Genomic DNA, 27,056 nt, shown 5'->3' on the forward strand with positions numbered 1-27,056 from the left:
TGATCTTTGTGTCTCCCAACCTTTTCTCTTTTTCTTTGCTAGTTATGCCAGATGTTTCTAGTGTCTACAGGTATGATGGTCATAGTCACCACCATATCATAAGATACCTTCCCCCATTCCCTTTATCCTGACTTGGTATAAACAAGTTCCTTTTTCCTTTACCTTAACTGGGGCAGGTATGTATACAGGGAACCTTCAAATGGACTCTTAAAGAACAAAGGTCAAGCCCTGAAGTTTCCCATTGCAAGTGCATTCTAGCCTGTGGCACACCAAAGTATTTGGAAAGCTCTGCTCTATCAGTTATTCAAGGACTGAGGTTCCTTCCCTCCTAAGCAACCCTGTCCAATAAAAATACAGTAGAAGCCACAAATGAATCATACTTGCGATTTTTAAATTTTCTAAATCAAGAAAGTAAAAACACAATAAATTTTAATATCTCTTATTTAACCCAATTTGTCCAAAATATTGTTTTAACATGTAATTAATATAAAATTATTAATAAACAATTTCAAATTCTTTTTTGCACACAAAGTTTTTGAAATCCAGTGTGTATCTTATACTTAGAATACATCTCAATTTGGACTAGCAAAAACATTTCAAGTGCTACCACATTGGACAGTACAGATCTAGAGGTTCATTTTTCTAGGACCTCAGAATCCTCGATCTTCAGAATCCAGTCAGCAGACAAGGAAAAGAGAGTACATAAAATATCTCAAAGGAAGTTTTAAGGATTCAACCTGGCACCAAAGTATATCACTTCTACCCACGTTCCATTGGCCAGTATTTAGTCCATATGACCTGATCTAACTAACTGCCCAGGGCACCTGGAAAATGTCATTTAGCTGTGTGCCCAGGAGGAAAAAAAAATAGGTTTGGCGAGTACAGAGTAGAGTCTTTACCACAGCATAAGGTATTATTATTACCATATTTTACAGATCAGGAAATTGATGCCCAGGCAGATTAACTGACACTCTTGTTAATGAGAAAATGTAAGTAGATGCGAGGTCTTCACTCTCTGGAGTGATATTTCTTCCATCAGACTGCCCTTCTTTCTTTCCTTTATTTGTCCTTCAACCTCCCCTTTAACTCTGTGCATGTAGATGCAGCTCTTGCAGTAAACCTATGTCTTCAATATTTTATCACATTGGCTCTCCTAGGCTGTACTCTGACTTAATGACAGTATCCTATTACTTCTGTTTTAGAAAATGATAAGCGCCCAGTATAATGAAGCAAATATGCCTTATTACTGGATCGTTTAACTAATAGTACTATTTTCAGCATTGCATTATCATTTTGAGTGGGCCTTTTCCTTCCTCATACTGAAGCTCCTCATTCAAAGCAAAAGATTGTTAAGGTCCTCATCAAGCCATTTCAATCAATGTATAAATTGTATTTTATGTTATAATGAACAGTCTGTTCAATTGAAGTTTTTAGCTTTTTAAAAGTGCTTAGAAGAATAGTAACAGAAGTGCTCTTAATGGTGAAATTATTGAACTGAAGTGCTTGGATAAGCTGTTTTATTTCTTAAATGAAAGGAGATATTTTAGATGGAGAAATGAGATAAATATTCCTCAAAGGAGACTGGTGGTAAAGAGTGACTGCTCTCCATGGATTACTGATTATAACACAAGTGTCCATCAAGAGCAGCTTTTATTGAAGACAGTTTAATTGGACCACTGCCCTTTAGCTTTAAATTACCCACGGCAAACTGGTTTAGAGTTTTTGTTGCTGTCTGTCTTATATTTGTGAATATGAAATACATTTACAGAGCCAAAAATTTAAAAATATGAAAAGATATACAGTGAAAACGCCACCTTTTATACTCCAATGCAGAGAGCTGGCCTTTCTAACAGTTTCTCCCTTTTGTAACCCAACTTTGTAGGTACTCATTCTTCTCTTCTTGCATATTCTTCTAGAATTTGTATATGCATTTATAAGCAAATGTGAATATATATTCTTAGTTTTCCTCCTGTTTTATCCTATACATACTGTTCTGCACCTTGCTTTTTAAACTTTATACACCATGAAGATCTTTCTGCGTCAGAATATAAAGTCTTCTTATTATCCTCATTCTTATAGTTGTGTAGTGCTCTACTGAATAAATGTACCATACTGATGAACATTTAGTCTGTTTCCAATCTTTGGATATTACAAACTGTATTGCAATAAATAAGCTTGAACATAAGTCATTTCACAAAAAATGTAAACATATTGCATACATAAATTCTCAGAAGTAGAATTGCTAGTCAATATATATAGTATATGCATTTGGAATTTAATAGAAATGGCCAAACTGCTTTCCACAGTGGTTGCACTAATTTACCGTCCAACCAGGAATACTTAATAGTGCCTATTTCATGTGCCTTTCCCCATAGATTGTGTTATGAAATTTTTTTTTGCTCTGTGTCTGAAAATGATATTTTAGTGTAGCTTAAAATTATATTTCTTTTACTGTGAGAAAAGTGAGCATCTTTTCATATGTTTAACGATCATTTGTGTTACTTGTTCTATGAACTGTGCTCATATCCTTTCCCTATTTTTCAGTTGTGTTGTTGGTCTTTTCTTTTTTGACTTATAGGAGCTCTGTATTTATTATGGGGATAAGCTGTGTGGTATAAGCTGCAATATTTTTTCTACCAGTTTTTCATTTGTCTTTTGACTTTACTTATGGCATCTTTTTTCATTACTATGCATTCCTTTTCTTTTTCTACTGTAGTCAAATTTATCTTTCTTTTAATGGCCCTGGATTTTGAATTCAGAAGTCTTTCTTCACTACAGGGTTATATGTAACTTACAGGGTTTTTTTTTCTAGTAATTTTTACATTTTGATCCCCTTTTGAATCTTTGATACATTTGGGATTTATCAAGATGTATAATGGATCCAACTTACTTTTTGTCAGATATTTATCTAGTTGTTACTCTTCACTGATTTGAGATGCCCCCTTTATCACATGCCCAAATACTCATGTATATATATTTGGGTTTATTTTTTGACTTATTCTTCCCAATTATCTGTCTGCATTCTTGTCTCAATCACATAGTTTTAATTACTGAGACTTTACAATATATTTTAATATTTGCTAGACTAGGTTGCCCTTATTGCCCTTTTTTCAGTTTTGTCTGACTATTCCTATTGTCCATTTTTTTGTTAGAATCCAACTCTTTCCCATCCTACCTTTCAACCCTTCCCCCCATAAAAAGGCAAGTTTGTTATTATTTATATTAACATATATTAATGCATTATATTGATATATTAATTATTTTATAAGTATACACATACATTGATAAAATAGCTTAGTGAGGTTGCTATTTTGAGGATATGGAGTTTTCCTATCCAATAATATATTTTATTATTCAATTTTTCTTCTTAAAAAATTATTCCATAGTACTTTAAAGTTTTCTTCATTTAGGTCTTCCACATTTCTCTTAAGTTTATTCTAAGGTATTTTATCTTTGTTATTGCTATATTGTTAATGGAACCTTCAGTTATAGCTAAAAAGAGCTTGTTATTTGTATATTTTATTACTATTGATTTTCAGGTATTAATTTTTTTGTTGTTTGTTTTGTTTGTTTTTTGATATAGGGTCTTGCCCTGTTGTCCAGGCTTGAGTGTGGTGGCATGATCTTGGGTCATGGCAACCTTTGCCTCCCAGGCTCAAGCAATTCTCCTGCCCCAGCCACCAAGGTAGCTGGCACTACAGGTGTGTGCCACCACACCTGGCTAATTTTTGTATTTTTAGTAGAGACAGGTTTCGCCATATTGGCCAGGCTGGTCTCGAACTCCTGAGCTCAAGTAATCTCCCCACCTCGGCCTCCCAGGGTGCTAGGATTACAGGCATGAGCCACCATGCCTGGCCATTTGGAGATATTAATTTTTTATTCCATTATCTGATTGAATGTTTTTGCTTTTTGGAATTTTTAGTCAATTATTGAGTTTTCCCAAATATACAATCATATCATCTTTGAATAATGGTAGGCTTACCTTTTTCTTCCCAATAGTTACTCCTCTGGTCCCATTACCTTTCATTAAGTTATTTTGTCACAATAAACAACTCTCAGATCTTCATGGCTGACAACAATAAGATACAGTCGTGCTCATGTTACATACCCATTAGGGTAGGCCTCAGCTCTGCTCCATGTCTTTGTCATCTGGGACTACACTAAAGGAGTGGCTCCATCTGGGATATACTAGTCTTCTGAAATCAGACAGGAAAGCGTGACAACAGAACCAATTGATGGCTTTTAGAATTCCAGCTACCTTATTTTGGCTCACATTTCATTGTATAAAGCAAGTCATATGGCCAAGCCTGATATCAATGGTGCAAGGAAGTACAGTCCTTTCATAGGGAGGAGCACTGAATATTAGAAATGAAGAGTACAATCTACTATAACCTCTAATTAATTTTTCCAGATAGGCACAGCAAACTTCAAATAACATAATCATAACTCTTAGAGCCCACTAGCTCCAAGTACTTAATTTGTATAGACCTATAATTGTTAGTGTTAATTATCAGTTGGTTCTTTCTATATGACAAACCACTGCAGTTGACTCAAGGTGGCTGATGTTGGCCAGGCTTAGCAGGCAAGTTCCTTTTCACATATCTCGTATCTGCCTTGAATCAGTGAGTTGGCCAAGGTAGGGCTGCATCTATGGTGAGGCAAATGAGGGACTTCTCAGGCACAAAATTTAAGAGGATGACAAAAAAAACTTGGTAATCAAGATATATGATATTTTAATATAGTATTTTTGAAAACCAAAATTAATGCAACCAAATCCATGATGAACAAAATATCAAAATTTTAAACAAAGACAGAAATAAGAACAATGCTGTGCCAAGCCATATTGGAGCCTAAGCCAAAAGGGAAAATTAGTAATACTTATTCTGTCTTTATGAAAAATTATTGAAAAAGTATCACTTGAGTGTTATGTGTAAAGTATTATGTTACATGCAAAATGTATATTTTTATTTATGAGGTATATATAAATAGAGATGATTCTACTTAGTTAAGAAGTCATACGGTATTTATATCAAATAATTGTAGCTCTTTTCACAATTACAGTCTGATAATATGCACAGTAGTTTGAGAATTCATTTTTTGAAATCTCCTTTAGACATTTTTGCATTTTTCTTTGAAAGTCTTACATGGTGGCTAATTTTCATGCTTTTTATGGTAGATTTTTTTAAAAAACAGGCAAAAATTATTAAGGGTCAAGTGTTGGGTAAGTAAGCAGGGTTAAGCTGGGTATTAATCTTGATCAAAAATAAGAAATGGGCTAAGCGTCGTGGCATGGACCTGTAGTTCAAGCTACGCGGGAGGCTGAGGCAGGAGAATCACTTGAACCCGGGAAGCAGAGGTTGCAGTGAGCCAAGATCATGTCACTGCACTCCAGCTTGGGTGACAGAGTGAGACTCCATCTCAAATAATAATAATAATGATAATAATTATAAAATGAGATATACACATAAAAAAGTTAATAAACTGCAAATGCCATAAAGTTGTTATTTATTATTGATATAGCTAAACAAGTTTGGGTTTATGTGTTTCTGAATCAGGGGCTGGATAACTGATCCATTCACAGATTTATTGATTAATGAATGGACTGCCCTCACCTAATGGCCGATAAGTCTAGGTGTGTCTAGATACTCACATATGCATACATAATCAAGGCCAGATCTTACAACCAAGCATGACTGAAATTCTGGAGGAAGGGACAGGGAACAGTTGATATAGATGTGGTAGGGACTGGTCACCCCATAGTAGAGCATTTGCTACTCTTTGTAGTCTTTTATTTTCAGTTTCTACATCACGACAGAACAAATAGAACTGTGGCTTTTGGGTTGGGTGTCATGGCTCACACCTGTAATCCCAATACTTTGGGAAGTCGAGGCAGGAGGATTGCCTGAAGCCAGGATTTCAAGAACTATGACTTTTGTCATAGTTGGGATTACAGGCACCTGCTACCACACCCGGCTAATTTTTATATTTTTACCAGAGACGGGGTTTCACCATGTTAGCCAGGCTGGTCTTGAACTCTTGACCTCAAGTGATCTGCCCACTTTGGCCTCCCAAAGTGTTGGGATTACAGGTGTGAGCCACCACACCCAGCCCCTCATTTTAGTTCTTTTACCTCAAAAAAATTGCGCATCTCTTTTTCTCTGTGTGCATGTATAATTATACACATTCATACACACATATACACACACACTTCTTAGGAAAACATTAAGAAAAAAAGTCTAGGTAAATGCTTAAAAATCATTTTTTTTCCTGAGTTATACAAAGGAAGGAGACACTGGTGACTAGCATAAGATAAATTAAATATATTAGAGGGTTTTTGTTTGTTGGCTGGCAAGATTGAGTAAAATTTTTGACCATCTTCTTTCCAGCTTAGTCAGTTATACACATATTGTCTGTATCTATCCAACAATTGCTTGTTATTTGTCAGTGATATTAGTCAGGTAATTATAGCATAGCAAACCTCAATTGGGCATTTATAGAATTACTTATAGAAAAGTAATCAGACCTGTTCCAAAATTTGTAGTCTAATGTTTGCACAAGGCACAGTAGTAATCACTAGGATAAGTAAGGTACAATTCTTCCCCTCAAAGACTTTACCATCCAGTATCTCACAATGTAAGAAATAATCTTAAGGTGGAAGGCTTTACAATTAGCAAAACAGAAACACAGGCCTCAAATTAACTTCTACATTTAAAATAAGGGTGTTGGAAACATCAAAATGCAATGGCTGGGTAGTTGTGCTTATTAAGTGGTGTGTTTGAGCATCAGAATGTATTTGGCTGATTCAGCACATTGTGGTGGTTTTTTTTTTTTCTTCCATTTCCATCCTTTTTTTCCTTCCTACACACGCAGCAAGGTATTTCACTCAGCTGTGAAATATTTACCATTGCAAGGCAACATATAATTAAGTGCCGGAATGAGTGATGCAGTCAAGTGCTATTGGAGATCAGCGGACAAAGAATTCAGTGTGGCCTGGGACAGGCATTGTAGAGGAGACAGGGCTTAAATTGGATCTTGAAAAATATTTGATCGAGCACAGAGGAGGGATAGGATGATGATGCAAGCAACAGCAATGCCATGAGCAAAAGGCAAGAACCAGAATGAGTCAGGCTTATTTCAAGGATAGTATGAAACCCATGTTCTCTGAAATGAGGATCTGGGTAGGAGGTGAAGCTGGCAAGGTAGACTGGGAAGCAGCTGATAATGGTAGAAAGGAACAAGCCATGGCCTGCAAGCCCAGAGACCTGAGTTCTGTCACTAACTGGTCTGTGTCTTTGGCAATCATTGAATCTTCTACTTCAATTATCTGTGATGTGAAATGATGCTTTCAGACTAAAAAAATCTCTAAGGTGGCTTCCTGTTTTAAAGTATTTTGTGATTCTTTTATGGTGATCCTTGATAAACTGGAATTAGGACTTTTGAATCTATCCTAACAGTCCTTAAGGTTGTTCTTAACAAGAAAATCACATAATGAAAGAGGGAATTCATCACATAGTGAAAGAGGTAATTATTGGTATTAAATTCAGTGAAGAATGATTGCCTTGGGAAAAGGGATTAGACATACTGGAGGAAGGAAACCAGCTTGAAGGCTATGCTGATAGTTCATATGGGAACAGGGTAGTTGAAATAGAAATCAAAAGGAGACAGACACTAGAACCATTGTTTATTCATTCTATGTTGATCATCAAAACTATGCTAGGTTCTGAAGATCCGGTTGCAGGAAAGACAGAAGAGGCCCCTATTCTTGTGGAACTTACATTCTAACAAAAGGAAAAACTCAGCAGGATTTGGTGATTGACCAATAGGATATTTGTGCCTTTAAGAGAATGACACTTACTGCAAGGCCAGATGTCTAGCTACAAAGGATTGACCACATAAATGTTGAACATTCATAAAATGAAATACTAGGCAGCCATACGGAATTATGAAACATACTTATTTACATGGGAGACTATTCATATGTTATTGAGTTAGAAAAACACAAATATAGAATATGATCTAGAAAATTATATACCATTTTATATGAATAATAGGATTATTAGTGATTTATCTGATTACTCTTCATTCGGTGGTTGTTTATTGAGTACCTACTTTTTTTTTTTTTGATACGGAGTCTCGCTCTGTTGCCAGGCTGGAGTGCAGTGGTGCAATCTCGGCTCACTGCAACCTCCACCTCCTGGGTTCAGCGATTCTCCTGCCTCAGCTTCCCAGGTAGCTGGGACTATAGGCGTGCACCACCATGCCCAGCTAATTTTGTATTTTTAGTAGAGACGGAGTTTCACCATGTTGGCCAGGATGGTCTTGATCTCTTGACCTTGTGATCCTGCCTTGGCCTCCCAAAGTGCTGAGATTACAGGCGTAAGCCACCATGCCCTGCCTCTTTTTTTTTTTTTTTTTTTTTTTTGAGAGAGTCTTGCTCTGTCTCCAAGGCTGGAGTGCAGTGGCGCGATCTCGGCTCACTGCAACCTCTGGCTCCTGGGTTCAAGCGATTCTCGTACCTCAGCCTCCTGAGTAGCTGGGATTACATGTGTACACTACCACGCCTGGCTAATTTTTTTTGTATTTTTAGTAGAGACGGGGTTTCGCCATGTTGTCCAGGCTGGTCTTAAACTCCTGAGCTCAGGCAATCTGCCCACCTTGGCTTGTTTATTGAGTACCTACTTTGTACCAAGCATTGTTTGGGGCTCTTAAGGATAAGTGGTAAACAAGATGGACACAGTCTGTTATTAGTTTTTTGTCTTATCTTTTCTAACTTTTTTTTGTAAGGAACTCACATTATTTTTATGGCAAAATAATTTCTTAAAAAAGTTTAAAAAAATCCTTCCATTGGCCATTTGTGTGGTATGTGTGTTTTATGAATTCTCCTTGACCATACATTTGGAGTGGGTGCACTCTTTTAAATTACACTGTTCTGTCCTGTGTCTTGTCCAGGTCTTGCACAAGATAGGAGGTGGCTCCAGGACACCAGTCTCCTTCTTAGGGTAGATTAGGGCACTGTCTGCCCTTTGGTGAAGCCAGCGTGGTCAGAACTCCCAGATTTGGTTTGGCTCCAAGGCAAATAGAGTCCTGCTGGGACTCTGCTGGCTGTTTATAGTCCTTTCAAGGGTCCGGTCATTCCAACCTTGGTGTCTATTTACGTTTGCCGTATGTTACTTGACGCTCCTTCATTCCCGTTGAAGCTGCCTCTCCCGGAAATCTCTGTCATTCCATAAGCCCTAGCTGCTGCCTCACCGTGCAGCTGACCTCATGCAGATTGAAAAACAAAATGTATTCTGGCTACATTTAAAGGAAGTTTTGAGGCCAGTTGATGGGCAAGGACTTGGCTGTATTACTTTGTGGGCGGAGCGCTTAAAGGGGGATCTAGCACTGGCTAGCACCAGATTCCAGGGCTCTTACACAAAAGCCTTTGTGTTATTTTTTCCTCCCTCTGCCCAGCTCTTCTCCCATGACTACTAATAGTGTCTCTCTGCTATAATGCACTCATCATTGCCTTCTATTTTTAAAATGCTAGATCTTGCATATGCCAAAGAACAAACAGGCAAGCAAAAAGCCACCGAATTATTAAAAAGTATTCCATGTTCCTATAATAAATTATATAAGTAAACATATGGATACATATATATATGTGTATATATATGTGTATATATATATGTGTATATATATGTATATATATGTATATATATACATATATATATGTGTATATATATATACATATATATGTGTATATATATATATACATATATATATGTGTATATATATATATATGAAGAATTACCTACAATCTTATTCCCTGGAGATATTTTGATACAATTTCTCTGTATACTTGTTTTTACTTTGTGCTCACATGGTTTTTCTAAGCTTTTGTTCTACCACTTATATAGCCTACTTATAGACCTTAAGCTGTGTCTGTACCAATGTTTTCCACCTAAGATAGACCTATTCTTTCTATAGAGAACAAATGCTATTATAATTTGGTACTTAACTACTTTTTCTAACTTCAAGATGGCCTCTTGGCCCTCATCATATGATCACAGAATATTTGTTCATTTCAAGGAAGCATTCATTTAGTTTTTCGTGTTAGCTCTAGTTATGTGAAATCTCTGGAGTCATGCTGGCCAATCTAATCCTTACTGTTTGGATTCTGTGATAACACCGAGGGCTCCTTGGGGTCACTGATGATCTTGAGCTTTGCACCAACCTGAAGGAAGAAGGAGGAGAAGACGTTCCTCTGACCAAAATCATCCCACACTTACCCTCTATCATCTGTTTAGAGTGTTAGAACATTGTTGACATTTGTGTGAGCAGTCCTGGAGCACAAATCCTTGATACAGTGTAAGTGAATGGACAAGCAACACGGACAAAGTTTAATTGCAGGGTCCATTTTTTTGCTAGTTTCAGAAATAAATTTTCCTTAGGAATTTCCTTGTTGTCAGTGTTTTCTCTCTGATTATTGAGTTCAGCTCTTTTCAGGCCAGACCTCTGTACATCTAGCTTTCTCTGTCTTCCAGAGTCTGATTAGTGTCACAAAGATGCCATGCAATTCCAAAGAGGCAAGATCTTTCTTGTTTCAGTGTTTCAGGTCTTTCTTTAATTCATTCTGTTTACAGAAATCATCTACTGCTACCTTCTTGGTTTTTTTTTTTTTTTTTTGAGACGGAGTCTCACTCTGTGGTCCAGGCTGGCTGGAGTGCAGTGGTGGATCTCAGCTCACTGCAACCTCCACCTCCTGGGTTCAAGCAATTCTCCTGCCTCAGCCTCCAAAGTAGCTGGGACTACAGGTATGTGCCACCACGCCTGGCTAATTTTTGTATTTTTTAATAGAGATGGGGTTTCACCATGTTGGCCAGGCTCGTCTAGAACTCCTGACCTCAGGTGACCCACCCACCTCGGCCTCCCAAAGTGCTAGGATTACAGGTTGTATTAACTATTGATAACCCCTTTATATATTTAGTTCCCCATACCAGTTCTTTTTGTTCGGCCGTCTACTTTTGGCCACACATTTTTTCCTCTTTTCACTGAGCTAAACTGAGTGCTGAATTGCAGTAATAATCTCATTTTAAATGTCTCGTTCATCTTTCTCTTTCCTGTGTTTTAAAATTTTATCTTTAATAGTGTACCTTACTATTTGTAAGTCACCTGCCTTCTCCCCTCTGTTTTGGAAGCAGGTAAAGTATAAATCATAGAGAGATCATATAAGTTGTCCCATCCTTGTAAATCTCTCACATAGTCTTATGCATATTTTCTGTATCTCCAGCTCAGTTGTCCCTCATTTTGTTTCTTTAATTTTATTACTTACTTTACTTGTTAATTTACTTGTAGACATTTGGATTTTCACTAGACATTCACAAGATGGTTTCTGTCTGTAGTTAAATAGTGGTGGGATGGGCATAAGATTTAGGGTACTGTGGAGGGGTGCTTTTTAATCATGTTGATTAATGTTGAAAGAAATGACTTGAGGTTTGGTTGATATTTATATTTACTCAGAGCTAATTTTTTGATTCTGTTTTTCCTTTTGTTTGCCTTCTGAAACTCCACTCGTTGTTTGATATGAGTAGAATTCTGTGTGTATAATCAGAGAGAAGAAAGTTCTTTCTCACTAAGTTTATGGTCAATCTAAGTAAGCAATGAGTTTAAAAATTACTTTATAGACGAAATTAATCTGGAGGTTTAGAAAGTGCATTGAAATTGAATTTGTTTCTTAGCTGGCAACTGATTTCAAAACTGAAGCACTTTTGAGTGCTTTGAGGGATGTTAGCCAATGTTATAGGATTATTTGAATGAACCCTTCATCCTCCATTTTGGTGTGACATTGGGACATTAATAATGAATGATTACTGTACTTGGTGGTCAGATATGCTATTCTGATCCATGTTTATTTCCCAGAGGGGCCTCTGGAAAAGGGCAATGAGGGTGGATTTAAAACCACAGTATTGGAATTCGATAACTTTAGTCTTGCTTTGTATGTCTAGGGCTTGCTGAAGAGTAGTTATAATACGGACAGTCAGTCAAGCAAGGAGCAGGCAAAATACCAAAATAGATTTTCATAACTCAGACATAAGCTGGATTCTGTGTTTTAATTTAGGCTCTAATGCTCAGCAATAAATTTTCCAGAAAATGTTCTAGATTGAAAATCTATCAGTACAAATTATTTGGGTTAGTGAAAGTAAACATAAGTTTATATAAACTAATTAGCAAAAATTATATGTTGCAATAAACCCTAAGGAATTTTGAAGGACTGAAATTTTAGTCATGCAAAGTTTATCCCCAAGGGAGGACTAAGTTCTCAGATGTCTTTACTCCCCCAGTAATTACTCAAAGGCTTGAAAGTGGAAGATTCTGTATCTTAGGGTGTTGGGGTCACTCCAGGAGGTAAACAAGATCTTGCTTTGTCAAGTGATGGAAACTGTCCATAGAACTATCTCCTCCCTTGTGGGTTTATATGAAAATGTAGAAGAGGATTGGTAATCTATTCAGCTATACTCCAGGGCAAAGCAATCAATCAAATTAAAAAGGAGATGGAGTGAGTAAGGTTCACATTCCCACTCTTATTTCAGATTAATAAGTGTATTTTCCTTACCTATGTCTTTATTTCAATTCTGCTAAACTTAAGGAAAAAACAATCAGAGCAAACACAGTTAATAATCCTAGTAACCAGAATTAATGATATGTTATTTATCTGTATACCTGGCTAATGTTACCTGGCCACCTGACATAGAGCCCTAAAAGAATGAGGGTGACTGTGGAGTGAGAGATCCCTGCTTACACAAAAAGAATGCTGGGAATCTGAGGATCCTGCTGCTTTGGTATAATTCAGTTGCCTGCTTTGATATTATACTTTGTATCCTTCTTGTGCATAGTTTGACATGCATTCCCTGACTGTTGTTTTGCCATGGAACTGACTTAACCTCTTGGTTGTTTAACTTTTTATTTTTTTTCTTATTTCTCACAAAAGAAATACATCTCTAGTGGAGAAAAATTTTAAACATACAGATAAACAGTACAATAAAAATCATTTGTAATGCTGCCACCTAGAGAAAATACTATGAATAGCTTTGACATATTTTTTACTTTAGTATACATAGCTATACTTTTTTTCTATATAGAACTCTTTTATAACTTACTTCTTTTCTGGTAACAATATGCCTTGAACATCTTCTGATGCGATTAAATATATTTTACAATGTTTTTAGCATCTGTGCATTTTTTTTCATTATGTGGAATACCACATCATGTTAAACTCATCTCTCTTTTTATAATTTTTCACCATTATAAACAAGTATTTGACAGCATTTCAGTAGGTAAATTCATTATTGCCTTAGAAAAGAATCCTGTGAATAAAATTGTTGGGTCAATGGGAGGTAATGGAGCTTTCCAAAGGTTAATCGACAGCTTGCCTTCCCATCTACCCGATATGAAAGAATGATACTGGCTTCAGAATCTGGATTTGTTGTTATCTAATTTTCAGAACCTTAACCAAAGGACTTTGATCCTATGAGGCTTCATTTCCTGTTCTGGACTCTCAGATGTGAGACCTAAAAACTTGTGTCTATAATATTAGCTCTCAACAGACATACTGTAGTTGTTTAAATACAAATCAACAGTCAAGCCAGTTGCTGTGGATATTTATTTATGTGGGGGAGGAAGGCATAGAAACACATCCTTAGAAGCTGTGCCATGGTCTTACTGATCTAAATAGATAAAAAGTACATCTAAGAAAGAGCTGCCAAAGGTCATACAATGAGTCAGCAATGAAATCCCAAATAGAACTTTGATTTCCTTAACTTCTTTCTCCCAGTAGAAAAAGTACTAATGAATAGGTCAGGAGAAAGCATTTGTAAATTAACCTGTAAGATCCTTTATACCTTGAAACGCTCCAGAATTTCAATGGAGTTACTAGAAATTTACATCAGATAAAACAAATCTAAACTGCTAATGGATATTGATAGATTCTTTACAAGATAAAATCTTAAATGACTGTAATGAAGAAAAAGCAACAGGTGGTATAGGGAGTTGAAAATGAGACTCAAAGGAATCTGTGTATACCTCTTGCCTGGGAAAGGATAAGTAGGAGGGTGGAGGAGTAATGGCCTGAACCCAGCATAGCAACTAAGGAAAACACAACAAAAAGGGCCTCTCAGGACATTAATCCTGGAGTGAAGGTGGGGGTCTTAACTTTCATTCTGAATGAACCATAGACCTTTCCTCCTCAGCTTGGTGGTATGGATCTGCACTGTTATTTCAGGGCCTGTGGCAGGGTGACCTGCAGGAGTCCTAGAATGTATTAGTCTGTTCTCATGCTACTAAAAAAAGACATACCTGAGACTGGGTAATTTATAAAGGAAAGAGGTTTAATGGGCTCAGTTCCACATGGCTGGGAGGCCTCACAATCATGGCAGAAGGCAAAGGAGAAACAAAGGCAAGTCTTGCATGGCGGCAGGCAAGAGAGCTTGTGCAGGGGAACTTCCATTTATAAAACCATCAGATCTCATAAGACTTATTCACTACCAAGAGAACGGTGTGGGGGAAACTGCCCCCATGATTCAATGATCTCCACCCGGCCCCACCTTTGACACATGGGGATTATTACAATTCAAGGTGAATTTTGGTTGGGGACACAGCAAAACTATATCAGAGAGATACCTTTCAATGTACCTAGGACTGGAACTCAAGTCTTCTGATTCTCACTTAGTACTCGTTCTACTACTTGGAAGAAATAACAGTAATTTTACAAGGTTTTTCAGAGATATGTAAAAACTTCTGGGTAACTAAAGCTTGGGCTGTCTTATGGGTGGAGTACACAAAATAAAAGAGAAAGAAAACAAAAGAAAATCTTTGGGCTTGAGAGTACAGGTCACCCATCTAGCACTGTCTTTATAGATGAGGAAACTGAGGCTCAGCAATCTATGGGGATACAGATAACCAATACACACAGGGGCCAAGAATTCAGACTCTCTGATGCCTAGCGTGATGCAAAGTGATCTAGATACATTTTTTGCTTCATATATTCTTTTCATGATCATCTTGAAGCTTTCGTTTCATGGTTTGTGAATTCAATATCGGTAACATCAGTATGTATTAAGACTTCATTTACATGTGGTACTAAACTCTGTGAAGCAAAATAGACAAAGTGCTTGCCCTACAAGAATTTCCTAAGGCAAAGAGACATAGACAGAAATGACCTATACACCACTGAACAAACAAAGCAAATATATAAATTGCATAATTTTTGCCATGTGAGATGGTGAATGAAGAGATGCTTACAGTCTGTTGCTTGAAGAGAAGACCCATCTTCATAACCCTGTGACCTACAGTAGTTACATTGGAAAGAAAAACAAAAGAGTGCTTCACCTGGCATACCTAGCATTAGAGTTGAGTTTCTTTGGTATATCATTGATGACTATCTTCAGTGATTTTTGTCCTTTTTGCGTATTCTGTGATGATCTGCAAAGACTAGAAGGTTTGCTGAGGCAGAAAGCCTCTCAGGGTATGCCTTCTAAAACCAAAGGGCTTTTCCCTCTTTGGAGGAGAATTAATGATCACGTGTTTTTGTCATATTTTTATTGAGCCTTTTTTTCCTTCTGGATGGACCTTGAAGATGGTAAAGGAACTTATAAATTCCCAATTTTTAAAACTGTATAATATGAACTGTGGTGAACAGTGAGACTAGGATATAAGTTGTTTGCTCTCAAAGACCAGATAAAGACAAATCAGAGGTGAAACTCCTCTCTTCTGTGCTGAAAAAAGGCACCTTGATCAGGTTTCTTATAAATACCTGTCCTAGTCTTTCGCTTCAGTACCAGTACTAGTAGTAGTATTAAGATAGTATTGCTATTCTGAAACTATCGTATATGTAATGTGAAATAAAACGAAAAGTAAGTATGAGATCTTCTAATTCTATTACCACAAATTTTTGGGGTGGAAGAAAGGAAATACGGATATACTATAGAAGATATTAGGTAAAAACCCTGTATTCCTGAATTTGAATTGGATATATCAATTGTGAACTCATAGGTGTTTTATTTTTCAATACATGTTTTTCCTAGCTCTATTAATGAAAAAAGCCTAGACACAGTGACCAATTCAGTAGTAATGAACAGCCCTATTGCCTTGATGGTGGTCTGAAAAATCTTTTCCCATTAAAGGAAACCAAGCCTTCTTAGAAAAATATCTGATTTTACATCACATACAAGATGAGCAAAGAAGCTATCAAAGATTACTATTACAGAATAGTCAACTTGAAGCTAGATTGAAGGAGATCCCACTGGCCAAAGATGGGCAACTCTCAATAAGGTTAGAACTGCAGTGAATCAAAAGTGGATCATATATGTTTAAATCCATGAGTATGCAATGATATCAAGTAAGACGACCAGTTGGTTACCTTCTGAATATGACAGAATCAATTCATTTCCTCGAAAACTAGCTAAAGAAAATTAAAGAATCAAATATTTATCTTAACTTTCCTTTATGAATTTTACCTGTATGAGCAAATAGTTGATAAAGGGAAGCATCTTCTATTGAAGTTATTCTAGCTAATAAATGAAAACAAAATGATAGAATATCATCATGCTGGAGGCTGTTCAAAGATGGCAGAATAGGAACAGCTGCAGTCTACAGCTCCCAGTGTAAGTGACGCAGAAGACGGGTGATTTCTGCGTTTCCAACTGAGGTACTGGGTTCATCTCACTGAGGATTGTTGGACAGTGGGTGCAGCCTATGGAGTGTGAGCCAAAGCAGGGCGGGGCATCACCTCACCCTAATAGCTGTGCTTTTCCAGTGGTCTTACCAAATGGCACACCAGGAGATTATATCCTGCTTCTGGCTCAGAGGGTCCTATGCCCACGGAGCCTCGCTCACTGCTAGCACAGCAGTATGAGAGCGAACTGCAAGGCAGCAGCAAGGCTGGGGGAGGGGCGTCCACCATTGCTGAGGCTTGAGTAGGTAAACAAAGCAGCCTGGAAGCTCGAACTGGGTGGAGCCCACTGCAGCTCAAGGAGGCCTGCCTACCTCTGTAGACTCCACCTCTGTGGGCAGGGCATAGCTGAACAAAAGGCAACAGAAACTTCTGCACACTTAAACCTCCCTGTCTGACAGTTTTGAAGAGAGCAGTGGTTCTCCTAGCACGGAGTTTGAGATCTGAGAAGGGACAGACCGCCTCCTCAAGTGGGTCCCTGACGCCCGAGTAGCCTAACTGGGAGACACGTCCCAGAAGGGGCCGACTGACACCTCATACAGCTGGGTGCCCCTCTGAGACGAAGCTTCCAGAGGAAGGATCAGGCAGCAACATTTACCGTTCTGCAACATTTGCTGTTCTGCAGCCTGTGCTGGTGATACCCAGGCAAACAGGTTCTGGAGTGGACCTCCAGCAAACTCCAAAAGACTTGCAGAGGGTCCTGACTGTTAGAAGGAAAACTAACAAACAGAAAGGACATCTACACCAAAACCCCATCTGTCCATCACCATCATCAAAGACCAAAGGTAGACAAAACCACAAAGATAGGGAGAAACCAGAGCAGAAAAGCTGAAAATTCTAAAAATCAGAGCACCTCTTTTCCTCCAAAGGAAAGCAGTTCCTCACCAGCAATGGAACAAAGCTGGATGGGGAATGACTTTGATGAGAGAAGAAGGCTTCAGAGGATCGGTAATAACAGACTTCTCTGAGCTAAAGGAGGATGTTTGAACCCATCGCAAAGAAGATAAAAACCTTGAAAAAAGATTAGACGAATGGCTAACTAGAATAAACAGCATAGAAAAGACCTTAAATGAACTGTTGGAGCTGAAAACCATGGCACGAGAACTACGTGACACATGCACAAGCTTCAGTAGCCAATTCGATCAAGTGGAAGAAAGGGTATCAGTGATTGAAGATCAAATGTATGAAATGAAGCGAGAAGAGAAGTTTAGAAGAAAAAGAGTAAAAAGAAACGAACAAAGCCTCCAAGAAATATGGGACTATGTGAAAAGACCAAATCTACGTCTGATTGGTGTACCTGAAAGTGACGGGGAGAATGGAACCAAGTTGGAAAACACTATTCAGGATATTATCCAGGAGAACTTCACCAACCTAGAAAGGCAGACCAACATTCAAATTCAGGAAATACAGAGAATGCCACAAAGATACTCCTTGAGAAGAGAAACTCCAAGACACATAATTGTCAGATTCACCAAAGTTGAAATGAAGAAAAACATGTTAAGGGCAGCCAGAGAGAAAGGTCGGGTTACCCACAAAGGGAAGCCCATCAGACTAACAGCAGATCTCTCAGCAGAAACTCTACAAGCCAGAAGAGAGTGGGAGCCAATATTCAACATCTTAAAGAAAAGAATTTTCAACCCAGAATTTCTTATCCAGCCAAACTAAGCTTCAGAAGTGAAGGAGAAATAAAATCCTTTACAGACAAGCAAATGCTGAGAGATTTTGTCACCACCAGGCCTGCCTTACAAGAACTCCTGAAGGAAGCACTGAACATGGAAAGGAACGACCAGTACCAGCCACTGCAAAAACATGCCAAATTGTAAAGACCATTGAGGCTAGGAAGTAACTGCATCAACTAACGAGCAAAATAACCAACTAACATCATAATGACAGGATGAAATTCACACATAACAATATTAACCGTAAGTGTAAATGGGCTAAATGCTCCAATTAAAAGACACAGACTGGCAAATTGGATAAAGTGTCAAGACCCATCAGTGTGCTGTATTCAGGAGACCCATCTCACATGCAGAGACACACAAAAACTCAAAATAAAGGGATGGAGGAAGACCTACCAAGCAAATGGAAAACAAAAAAAAAGCAGGGGTTGCAATCTTAGTCTCTGATAAAACAGACCTTAAACCAACAAAGATCAAAAGACACAAAGAAGGCCATTACATAGTGGTAAAGGGATCAATTCAACAGGAAGAGCTAACTGTCCTAAATATATATGCACCCAATACAGGAGTACCCAGATTCATAAAGCAAGTCCTTAGAGACCTACAAAGAGACTTAGACTCCCACATAATAATAATGGGAGACTTTAACACCCCACTGTCAACATTAGACAGATCAACGAGACAGAAAGTTAACAAGGATATCCAGGAATTCAACTCAGCTCTGCACCAAGCAGACATAATAGACATCTACAGAACTCTCCACCCCAAATCAACAGAATATACATTCTTCTCAGCACCACATCACACTTATTCCAAAATTGACCACATAGTTGGAAATAAAGCACCCCTCAGCAAATGTAAAAGAACAGAAATTATAACAAACTGTCTCTCAGACCACAAGGCAATCAAATTAGAGCTCAGGATTAAGAAACTCACTCAAAACTGCTCAACTACATGGAAACTGAATAACCTGCTCCTGAATGACTACTGGGTACATAACTAAATGAAGGCAGAAATAAAGATGTTCTTTGAAACCAACAAGAACAAAGACACAACATACCAGAATCTCTGGGACACATTTAAAGCAGTGTGTAGAGGGAAATTTATAGCACTAAATGCCCACAAGAGAAAGCAGGAAAGATCTAAAATTGATACCCTAACATCACAATTAAAAGAACTAGAGAAGCAAGAGCAAACACATTCAAAAGCTAGCAGAAGGCAAGAATTAACTAAGATCAGAGCAGAACTGAAGGAGATAGAGACACAAAAAACCCTTCAAAAAATCAATGAATCCAGGAGCTGGTTTTTTGAAAAGATCAACAAAGTTGATAGATCGCTAGCAAGACTAATAAACAAGAAAAGAGAGAAGAATCGAATAGGCACAATAAAAAATGATAAAGGGGATATCACCACCAATCCCACAGAAATACAAACTACCATCAGAGAATACTATAAACACCTCAACACAAATAAACTAGAAAATCTAGAAGAAATGGATAAATTCCTGGACACATACACCCTCCCAAGACTAAACCAGGAAGAAGTTGAATCTCTTAAACCAATAACAGGCTCTGAAATTGAGGCAGTAATTAGTAGCCTACCAACCAAAAAAAGTCTAGGACCAGACGCGTTCATAGCCGAATTCTACCAGAGGTACAAAGTGGAGCTGCTACCATTCCTTCTGAAACTATTCCAATCAATAGAAAAAGAGGGAATCCTCCCTAACTCATTTTATGAGACTATCATCATCCTGATACCAAAGCCTGGCAGACACAACAAAAAAATAATTTTAGACCAATATCCCTGATGAACATCAATGCAAAAATCCTCAATAAAATACTGGCAAACCGAATCCAGCAGCACATCAAAACACTTATCTACCAAGATCAAGTTGGCTTCATCCCTTTGATGCAAGGCTGGTTCACCATATGCAAATCAATAAACATAATCCATCATATAAACAGAACCACAGAAACCACATGATTATCTCAATAGATGCAGAAAAGGCCTTTGACAAAATTCAACAGCCCTTCATGCTAAAAACTCTCAATAAATTAGGTATTGATGGGATGTATCTCAAAATAATAAGAGCTATTTATGATAAACTCACAGCCAATATCATACTGAATGGGCAAAAACTGGAAGCATTCCCTTTGAAAACGGGCACCAGACAGGGATGCCCTCTCTCACCACTCCTATTCAACATAGTGTTGGAAGTTCTGGCCAGGGCAATCAAGCAGGAGAAAGAAATAAAGGGTATTCAATTAGGAAAAGAGGAAGTCAAATTGTCCCTGTTTGCAGATGACATGATTTTATATTTAGAAAACCCCATCATCTCAGCCTAAAATCTCCTTAAGCTGATAAGCAACTTCAGCAAAGTCTCAGGATACAAAATCAATGTGCAAAAATCACAAGCATTCCTATACACCACTAACAGACAAACAGAGAGCCAAATCATGAGTGAACTCCCACTGACAATTGCTTCAAAGAGAATAAAATACCTAGGAATCCAACTTACAAGGGATGTGAAGGACCTCTTCAAGGAGAACTACAAACCACTGCTCAATGAAATAAAAGAAGACACAAACAAATGGAAGAACATTCCATGCTCATGGTTAGGAAGAATCAATATCCTGAAAATGGCCATACTGCCCAAGGTAATTTATAGATTCAATGCCATCCCCATCAAGCTACCAATGACTTTCTTCACAGAATTGGAAAAAAACTACTTTAAAGTTCATGTGCAACCAAAAAAGAGCCTGTATTGCCAAGACAATCCTAAGCTAAAAGGACAAAGCTGGAGACATCATGCTACCTGACTTCAAACTATACTACAAGGCTACAGTAACCAAAACAGCATGGTACTGGTACCAAAACAGAGTTATAGACCAATGGAACAGAACAGAGACTTCAGAAATAATACCACACATCTACAACCATTTGATCTTTGACAAACCTGACGAAAACAAGAAATGGGGAAAGGATTCCCTATTTAATAAATGGTGCTGGGAAAACTGGCTAGCTATATGTAGAAATCTGAAACTGGATCCTTCCTTACACCTTATACAAAAATTAATTCAATATGGATTAAAGACTTAAATGTTAGACCTAAAACCATAAAAACCCTAGAAGAAAACCTAGGCAATACCATTCAGGACATAGGCATGGGCAAGTACTTCATGACTGAAACACCAAAAGCAATGGCAACAAAAGCCAAAATTGACAAATGGGATCTAATTAAACTAAAGAGCTTCTGCACAGCAAAAGAAACTACCATCAGAGTGAACAGGCAACCTACAGAATGGGAGAAAAATTTTACAATCTACCCATCTGACAAAGGGCTAATATCCAGAATCTACAAAGAACTTAAACAAACTTACAAGAAAAAATCAAACAACCCCAACAAAAAGTGGGCAAAGGATATGAACAGACACTTTTCAAAAGAAGACATTTATGCAGCTAACAGACACATGAAAAAAATGCTCATCATCACTGGCCATCAGAGAAATGCGAATCAAAATCACAATGAGATACCATCTCACACCAGTTAGAATGGTGATCATTAAGAAGTCAGGAAACAACAGGTGCTGGAGAGGATGTGGAGAAATAGGAACATTTTTATACTGTTGGTGGGAGTGTAAACTAGTTCAACCGTTGTGGAAGACAGTGTGGCGATTCCTCGGGGATCTAGAACTAGAAATACCATTTTACCCAGCCATCCCATTACTGGGTATATACCCAAAGGATTATAAAGACACATGCACACGTTATGTTTAATGGGGCACTATTCACAATAGCAAAGACTTGGAACTAACCCAAATGTCCATCAATGATAGACTAGATTAAGAAAATGTGGCACATATACACCATGGAATGCTATGCAGCCACAAAAAAGGATGAGTTCATGTCCTTTGTAGGGACATGGATGAAGCTGGAAACCATCATTCTGAGCAAACTATCACCAAGGACAAAAAACCAAACACCGCATGTTCTCACTCATAGGTGGGAATTGAACAATGAGAACACTTGGACACAGGGTGGGGAACATCACACACCGGGGCCTGTCTTGGGGTGGGGGAAGGGGGGGAGGGATAACATTAGGAGATATACCTAATGTAAATGATGAGTTAATGGGTGCAGCACACCAACATGGCACATGTATACATATGTAACAAACCTGCACGTTGTGCACATGTTCCCTAGAACTTAAAGTAGAATTTTTTAAAAAAAGAATATCATCATGCTACAACTCCCAATACATTAACAGATCTAGGCACCGCTGACCAGCAATTACTAAAATAGTTGATATCACCAACTATCGAAAAAAGAACAAAAATCAAAGTTGAATACCTCTCTCTCTCTCTTTTTTTTTTTTTTGAGACGGGGTCTGATTCTGTCGCCCAGGCTAGAGTGCAGTGATGTGATCTCAGCTCACTGCAACATCCGCCTCCCAGGGTCAAGCCATCCTCCCACCTCAGCTTCCTGAATAGCTGAGACCACAGGCACACATCACTATGTCTGGCTAATTTTTGTATTTTTTGTAGAGATGGGGTCTCACTTTGTCGCCCAGACTGGTCTCGAGCTCCTGAGCCAAGCGATCTGCCGGCCTCAGCCTCTCAAAGTGCCAGGTTGCAGGTGTGAGCCACCATGCCTGGCCATGAAGTTAAATACTCCTCCTGATTAAAAAAAAAAAAAAAAAAAAAGACTGTGGTACTTACTGTTTTGTCAAAGAAATTGAAGCTGAGGTGAATCAGGCCTCAGGATCCAGATGCCAGTTTTTAGAAAGTAAAGAGGACAGAATAACTGGCAGGCTGGATTGCTTCATGTGGCTTCAATCAACAAATCCAAATTGTGGAAAACTCTGCAGGTCTAATGCCCGAAGTTCTTCAACAGATAAATTGTATGAAAAAGGAAATACAGATAGAAAAACAGATTAAAAGAGACTTAAGCTGGGTGTGGTAACACGTGCCTATAATCCAGCTACTCCAAAGGCTAAGGTGGGCACATCATTTGAGACTAGCCTAGGCCAAACAGCAAGAGCCTGTTTCAAAAAAAAAAATGGAGAAGAGACTTAAAAGACATATCAAGATAAAAACTGGGCAAAAGTAAATTATTATATGCAGGTACTCTTGTGCGGGAATGATTGCTGTGCAAATCAGGATAGTGGTCACTTTTGGAGGGATGAAGCCTCTGTGATGGAAAGGGGACAGGCGGAAGCAGTTCTGGGGTGGGGATGGCTGGTAAAGTTCTAAATTTTGGCCTGGGTGGTTGTTACAAGAGTGTTTTCCTTATAATAATTTACTAAGCCATATATATAAACATCTGGTATACATGTAAATAGCATATTTACTATATACATATATATTACATACATATATTAAATATATTTATTTGTGTGTGTGAGACAGTCATTTGTTTCATTTTATGATAAAGTGTACAAAAAAGCAAAAGAGAAGGCATGTTAGAAAAATCCACAAACCTGATGCTGCCCTAGAGATTATTACAACACTATCAGTACTGGGTAAATAAAGTTATGGAATGTTGTTTTCTGGCGCACAAAGAATGTAAATTCTACTGTAGATATATTTGTGTAATATCAGTGGTGGGCTACCTTTCAAGTGCTGGGAGCTTTTGCTTTTACAGTGCTTAGCAGCAGGCTTGCACGTAGTTCCCACTTCAGCATCAGTCAGCCTAGACAGATGACCCATTTCTGGCTCCGTGTTTTTCAATGTGTGGTGCATAGAACACCAGCATGATGGCCATCACATGCTTAAGAAAATGCAGGTTCTTTGGCCCTAGCTGTCTTGAAAAGGAGTAGCCCAGGAATATGCATGGTTAACAAGCACACTGCAAGGTAAGAACCACCACTGTCTTCTCTATTAATTTCTACCTGAAACACTGCTAAAAAAAATCAGTTCTATGAAGATGTCTTGGGGAAGGTATAGATATTCTGAACAATTTCCAGAAGAGCTATTGAGAGTCAAGACCACAGCCATGATTTTTTTAGTGAATGAACTCAGATTTTGATCCTGCATTGTGTCATGTAGAATACTGAATGCAAGAATGACTAAGCAGTAGCTTGCTTAGAAAAACAATTTCTCCAGTGTACAATAACAATGGTCAGTTTTCCTCCAAACTTTTTGTTTAGGGTTTATTCCTGGTCAAATAAGTCAGAGCCTGGTATTAGGTATTTAAAGTGATAGCTCAATAAATGAATCCTCTGAAGCTTTTTAATAACAATTTTATGCAAAAAATTTTCAAAGCATGGAAAGCAAAGCAATCTACGTTTGTATATGGCCAGGTATATCCTGACAGAACTTCTAATTGGTCCTTTCTCAGTTGAAGGCAGAGGAGACTTTCAGAGACGTGAAGGCAGAAGTGTGAATGCTTCCAAGACTGTATTCTGCATCTTCATCATTCTCTTTCTATCATCTCTTCCACGCTTCCAAATCTGCTCGCTTTTTCAGACCCTCTCCTAATCAAAGCAGGAGGTGACCCAATGTCAGTGACTGCTGACATTACTTGCTGAGTAAGTGCCAATTAGTGTAAATATACTTCAGAAAGAAATTTAAGCTACTATTTGCTTTTTAGGGGTTTACCTCTAATTTGTAAAATACAATATTTTATCCAATTGAATTCGACTTCACAAACATCCTTTGCATCTGTATGGCGGTGTCCTAACAGTGTGGCATTATAGATAACCAAGACAAATAAGACACATTTCCTGCTTCTAGAAAGATACAGTCTAGTTAGGGAGATGGATGAGTAACAGCCAATAATAATAGCAAATCATTTCCACATAAATTAGCTCATTTTAGTCATCACACTCTCATAATTTTAGCACTAAAAAGAATAACTACTGTTTATAGAGTTCTTCAAACTTTGGAGAGAAGTTCTGTGATTATCATAAAAAGTCAGGATTATTCCCACTGCGCTCCATTATGGTCATTCTTTTTTTATTATTTTTAAATTTGAGACAGGGTCTCACTCTATTGCCCAGGCTGGAGTACAGTGGTGTGATCATGGCTCACTGTAGCCTTGACCTCCTGGGCTCAAGTGATCCTCCCTCCTCATCTTCCCAAGTAGCTGGGACTACAGGTGTATGCCACCAGGTCTGGATAATTTTTTTATTTTTATTTTTTTGAGACAGCCTTGCCCTGTCGCCCAGGTTGGAGTGCAGTGGCGAAATCTCAGCTCACTGCAACCTCTGCCTCCCGGGGTCAAGTGATCCTCCTGCTTCAGCCTCCAGAGTAGCTTGGATGACAGGCACCTGCCACCATGCCCCACTAATTTTTGTATTTTTAGTAGAGATGCAGTTTCACCACATTGCCCCGGCTGGTCTCAAACTCATGAACTCAAGTGATCCGCCCACCTTAGCCCCCACAAAGTGCTGGCATTACAGATGTGAGCCACAGTGCCTGGCCCAGGCTTGCATACTTTTTGTATCTTTTGTAGAGATGGGTTTTTGCCACATTGCCCAGGGTGGTCTCAAACTCCTGGGCTCAAGGGGTCCTTCGACCTTGGCCTCCCAAAGTGATGGGATTGCAGGTGTGAGCCACCATGTTCAGCCCATTATAGTTAATTCTTAATATGACAAAAGAAGAAACTAGGCTTATTAGAAAAGTGTATTTGCTAGAGGAAAAATAAAGAAGAGGTAGTCTAGTTTGTGTTTTTTTAAATAGTATTTTTGTAACCAGTTTAGATTCACAGCAAAATTAAGAGGCAGGCACAGAGGTAGCCCTTATATCCCCTTGCATTAAGGTTTCCACACATGCATAGCTTTCCACATTGTCAGCACCTCCCACTAGGGTGGTACATTTGTTACAATTGATGAACCTACTTTGGCACATCATTATCACCCCAATTCCATAGTGTACATAGTGTACATTGGGTTCACTCTGTCTTGTACATTCTATAGATTTTGAGGAATATTAAATTATGTGTATCCACCTTTATAGTATATAGAACAGTTTCACTGCCATAAACATCCTCTTCTCTACTTAGTCTTCCCTCCTTGCCCCAAACGGTCTGGGAGCCACTGCTTTGCCTTTTCCGGAATGTCATATAAATGGAATAGTACGGTTTGTAGCCTTTTCAGATTGACTTCTTTCACTTAGTAATATACATTTAAGGTTCCTCATGTCTTTTCATAGCTTGATAGCTTACTTCTTTTTAGCACTGACTAATATTCTATTGTCTAGATATACCAAAGTTTATCCATTCACCTACTGAACTCCTTGGTTGCTTCCAAGTTTTGGCAATCCTTGGTTGCTTCCAAGTTGTGGCAATTATGAATAAAGCCGCTATAAACATCTGTGTGCAGGTTTTTCTGTGGATATGAGTTTTCAACTCCTTTGGGTAAAAACCAAGGAGTGCGATTGCTGGTTTTTATGGTGAGAATATGTTTAGCTTTGTAAGAAACCACCAAACTGCATTCCCACTACAATGAATGAGAGTTCCTCTTACTCCACATCCTCACCAGCATTTGGTGTTGTCAATATTCTGAATTTTGGCCATTCTAATGATTATGTAATGGTATCTCATTGTTTTAATGGTATCTCATTGTTTTAATTTGCATTTCCCTGATGACTTATCATATGGAACCATCTTTTCATATTCTTATTTGTCATCTGTCTATTTTCTTTGGTGAGGCATCTGTTAAGGTCTTT

General features: G+C 38.2%; 1 protein-coding gene across 12 annotated transcripts in view; it reads left to right on the plus strand.

Moving 5' to 3' along the window:
- AKAP6 (A-kinase anchoring protein 6) overlaps positions 1 to 27,056 on the plus strand; it is a 508,387-nt gene that overhangs the window by 171,425 nt on the left and 309,906 nt on the right. Inside the window, exon 2 of one of the 12 annotated variants that reach the window (XM_047431971.1) lies at positions 24,727 to 24,916. The exons of the other annotated variants lie outside the window; for them this stretch is intronic. The gene's annotated coding sequence lies outside the window, so the exon portion shown is untranslated. The remainder of the gene's footprint in view (positions 1 to 24,726; positions 24,917 to 27,056) is intronic. 12 annotated transcript variants of the gene reach the window in all.

Source organism: Homo sapiens, chromosome 14 (genome assembly GCF_000001405.40).
Source record: "Homo sapiens chromosome 14, GRCh38.p14 Primary Assembly".
Lineage (NCBI taxonomy): Eukaryota > Metazoa > Chordata > Mammalia > Primates > Hominidae > Homo > Homo sapiens.